Here is a 4623-nt window from a genome sequence, read left to right as displayed (position 1 = left end):
AGTCTCCAGTCTCATCCAGGTCACTGCAAATGCAGTGGCCTTTTTTCATTTCTTTTTATGACTGAGTAGTATTCCATCATCTATATATACCACAGTTTCTTTATCAACTTGTTGATTGATGGGCATTTGAGTTGGTTCCACGATTTTGCAATCATGAATTGTGCTGCTATAAACATGCATGTGCAAGTATCTTTTCCAAATAATGACTTCTTTTCCTCTGGGTCGATACCCAGTAGTGGGATTGCTGGATCAAATGGTAGTTCCACTTTTAGTTCTTCAAGGAATCTCCACAGTGTTTTCCATAGAGGCTGTACTAGCTTACATTCCCATCAGCAGTGCACAAGTGTCCCCTGATCACCGCATCCATGCCAACATCTACTGTTTTTTGCTTTTTTTATTATGGCCATTCTTGCAGGAGTAAGGTGGTATCGCATTGTGGTTTTGATTTGCATTTCTCTGATCATTAGTGATGTTGTGCATTTTTTCATATGTTCGTTGGCCATTTGTATATCTTGACAGTTGTCTATTCATGTCCTTAGCCCACTTTTTGATGGGATTGTCTGTTTTTTTCTTACTGATTTGAGTTTGTTGTAGATTCTGGATATTAGTCCTTTGTGAGATGCGCAGATTGTGAAGATTTTCTCCCATTCTGTGGGTTTTCTGTTTAGTCTGCTGACTGTTCCTTTTGCCTTGCAAAAGCTCTTTAGTTTAATTAGGTCCCAACTATTTATCTTTGTTTTTATTGCATTTGCTTGCAGGTTCTTGGTCACAAAATCCTTGCCTAAGCCAGTGTCTAGGAGGGTTTTTCCAATGTTATCTTCTAGAATTTTTATAGTTCCAGGTCTTAGGTTTAAATTCTTAATCCATCTTGAGTTGATTTTTGTATAAGATGAGGATCCAATTTCATTCTTCTACATGTGGCTAGCCAAGAGCGAAAAGTATTTTTGTTTCAGATTATTTGAAGGTTGGAGAACTACAAGTGAAGCTACCTCTAGGATCTCTGTTTATATAAAGCTTCATGGCAACAGAGAAGTTGTCTATCTTACACTGTGTCCATTTACTGGCAAGTAGTAGGCAACTCATTGAACATTTGTTGAATGCATGAAAGCCATTATCTTATTACAGTATATGACTTTGGGCAAGTAGTTTTCTAATCAGTTTCCCAGTTCATAAACTAACAAGATTGAATAAATCTATGTCATGGTCTCTTCCAAGTCCAACAATTTTTTATTCAAAGAGAGATCCAAGTAATGCCCACAAAGCATCATATGGGAAAGACTCCCTTCCTTTGCAGCTATTTCTACTGATCAGAAGAACCAGAGGCAAAAAATAATAATAGAAAATTAGAATTTAACATTCCTTTGTGCTCCTCTTCTTCCAAATTACTAGACAATAAAAGAGTTACAAAGGCAGTAAGAAACACAGAGAAAGTCCCTCCTCCCTTGAATTTGCCCTTTGGGGACTAGTGGTGGTTCCTAGTTTCAACCCAAAGTCCATATTCTCTTGTTCTGTTGGAGCCTAGATTTTGAAGTCAGAGAGAGGTGGGTTTCATTGAGCAAGTCATCAAACTCCCCAAGCCTGCATTCCTTATATATAAATTAGGGATAACCATACCCATCCCATAGGATTAAATAAGATACATGCCCAGCACAAAGCCCACTGTATAGGAGATGCTCAGTCAATATTAGTTTCCATGATGTGCCCAATTCCGAACATCTGAGGGGGCAAGCAAATGTAGCAGTGGGTTTTTTTCTAGAAAAGCCCCCACATTGGAATTAGTCATGGTTTCTGGCTACATAATTTCAGATTCTCACTCTCTGCCTCTCCTGGAGATTCTGAGAGTTTCCTAATACCCTTTCAAAAATTCCTTTGCTACTTAAATGAGCCAGAGTGGATTCCACTGTCTGCAACATAGAATCAAGACCATTATAGTTCCTATGGAAGTTCACATTTAACAGATCATTTAGTCCAAATCCCAGAAGAAGAGCTTCATTGGAAAGAAGTGTTTGTCTATCCATGCAGTGTAGCTCCTAGTCCTGACTCTAATACGGTTTCGTATTTTGCCTTAATCAACTCATGTGTAAATTGTCTTATTAGTTCAGCAGGAGCCCCTTAGAAACAGAGGCAGCCTCTTGAGATCCACTGGAAAAGGCCCAGAAGGACAAGTCACAGATGGAGAGGTAAGGTCTTGGGCCTACCACTGGAAACCCACCTAGTCCAAGGTAAGTCCTTTCAATTCCTTAAGTCTTGGTTCCCTGTGAAATAAGAAACTGGCATGTGGCCCAGGGAACTGACATGAAATCAAAGAGAAAATGGACGTGAAGAGCCCTGGTCAATCGCAGATCCAAGAAGCAACTTAAATAGTGTCCACTTCCATCTCTCTTCCCTAGAAGCAGGGATTGAGTCATGGCTTCCTCTTCTAAGGCACTTAACCCAGTGATTAGGTCTCTTGGACCGGGGCAGGACCAACACGTGGGGCATATCGCCCTCTGGTGGGCTTAAATGGAAAGGGTATGGTTTTCAAACGGGCTGCAAGGCTACAAAAACAGAACTCACAGAATCGTGGAATTTCAGAAGTGAAAGAGATCTTTGACACCATTTAGTCTAACATCCTCATTTACTGATGGGACAATGAAAGACCCAAGAGTGAGAGTGACTTGCCTAAGGTCACACCAAGGACAACTGTCAGAGCCAAGGCCAGACCTCAAACCCTCGACCCCCATCCAGGGCCAAGGTCCTTCTCTCTGCCATGAAACACCAAACCTTCATGTTTGTGGTTCATATCCCTACATCCCTGAGCCCTTGACCCAGCTCAGCCATGCTGTCAGCAGCAGCAGGTTAGCTGGATTCTGCCCAAGATTGGGTAATTTCCCCACCCAGTTATATTGTCAAAAAGTTATGTTATTCTCTTTAAAATGTACCATGTTAATGTTTTGCTTTTGGTACAAATAACCCAAGCTATAACTATGGCAACTTCTTGGAAACATGGAAAGAAAACACTTCTCAGCTGGGTGTGGTGGCTCACGCCTGTAATCCTAACACTTTGGGAGGCTGAGGTGGGTGGATGACGAAGTCAAGAGATCGAGACAATCCTGGTCAACATGGTGAAACCCCGTCTCTACTAAAAATACAAAACTTAGCTGGGTGTGGTGGTGGTGTGCCTGTAGTCCCAGCTACTTGGGAGGCTGAGGCAGAAGAATGGCTTGAACCTGGAAGGCGGAGGTTGCAGTGAGCTGAGATCACACCACTGCACTCCAGCCTGGGTGACAGAGTGAGTGAGACTCCGTCTCCATTTAAAAAAAAAAAAAAAAAAGAAAACACTAGTAAGCATAACTGGATAATTCTAAGAGAAAAGAACAACAGAATACCTGATTTCTACACAAGTTAGAGAAAGACCCTTTATTTTAAAGACCAATCTCTGCCACAGGTGTTTATCTATGAAGCTAGAACAGTTCAGAGGGCTTCAAAGCAAACCCTCCTCATGCCAACACAGCTGCCAGCCCACGCATGATTTCCATAAGAACCCACACTCAAGCAGTTCCAATTTGCCATTTTAATAAATGCCGAAAGAAGCGGTCATGTTGGGTCTTTGCAATGGAGAGGAAATGTCCTTTTTAATGGGATTTTTGGAAGTCTTTATTTTCTAAGTCCCTTTGGAAACTAAACACACATAAACACACACACACACACACACACACACACACGGAAAACTTCAACCAAAGTAGGATTCAAATAAGCCACCTGAGTTCTGTCCCCAGAAAGAGCAGGTGGGGGAAAAAGTGGTAAGTAGGTGAGGTGATGGATATGTTAATTAGTTTGATTTAATATTTTATGACATGTATATATATAACCATCACATTATACCTCTTAAACAGATACAATTATTATTCATCAATTGAAAAAAAGAAAAGAAAGGAAGGAAGGATAGAAAAGAAAGAAAGCAAAGAAGGAAGGAAGGAAGGAAGGTAGGGAGGGAGGGAGGGGAAGGGGGGAGGGAGAGGCAGAAGGGGAGGGGAGGGGAGGGAAAGGGAGGGGAGAGGAAGGAAGGGAGAGGAGGGGAGGGAAGGCAGAAAGGAAGGAAGGAAGAGAAAGAAAAAGCAAGAGAAACCTTGAGTGAGTCACTTGTCCTCCCACTCTCTGCATGGCCTAGCTTTCTCGTTGATAGTAGAGGGCCATCAGGTAGGCCCTGCTAGCTTTGCAGGGCTACTGAGAGAATCTAGTGCAGGAGTCCCCAGCCTCCAGGCAGTGGACTGGTACTGTCTGTGGCCTGTTAGGAACCAGGTCACACAGCAGGAGCTGGGCGAGCATTACCACCTGAGCTCCCCCTCCTGTCAGATCAGCAGCAGCATTAGAGCACAAACCTTACTATGAACTGCGCATGAGAGGGATCTAGGTTGTGTACTCTTTATGAGAATCTAATGCCTGATAATCTCAGGTGGAGCAGTTTCATCCCGAAACCATCCCCTCAACCTTGTCAGTGGAAAAAAATGTCTGCCACAAAACCGGTCCCTGGTGCCAAAAAGGTTGGGGACCACTGATCTAGTGGACTTTGTCCAAAGATCACAAAGCAACACAAATGTACAGATTTTTAATCACCCACAGTGGAATAACCTGGCCATTCCT

General features: G+C 42.6%; 1 annotated feature.

Moving 5' to 3' along the window:
* Positions 2487-2536: an enhancer, noted in NCBI's record as "active region_28880". NCBI's record gives its function as "activates an Ori minimal core promoter by ATAC-STARR-seq in GM12878 lymphoblastoid cells {active_cell/tissue: GM12878}" and the evidence as "EXISTENCE:reporter gene assay evidence [ECO:0000049][PMID:35858748]".

This window comes from Homo sapiens, chromosome 9 (assembly GCF_000001405.40).
Source record: "Homo sapiens chromosome 9, GRCh38.p14 Primary Assembly".
Classification (NCBI taxonomy): domain Eukaryota; kingdom Metazoa; phylum Chordata; class Mammalia; order Primates; family Hominidae; genus Homo; species Homo sapiens.
This window is presented reverse-complemented; position numbering and strand designations above follow the sequence as displayed.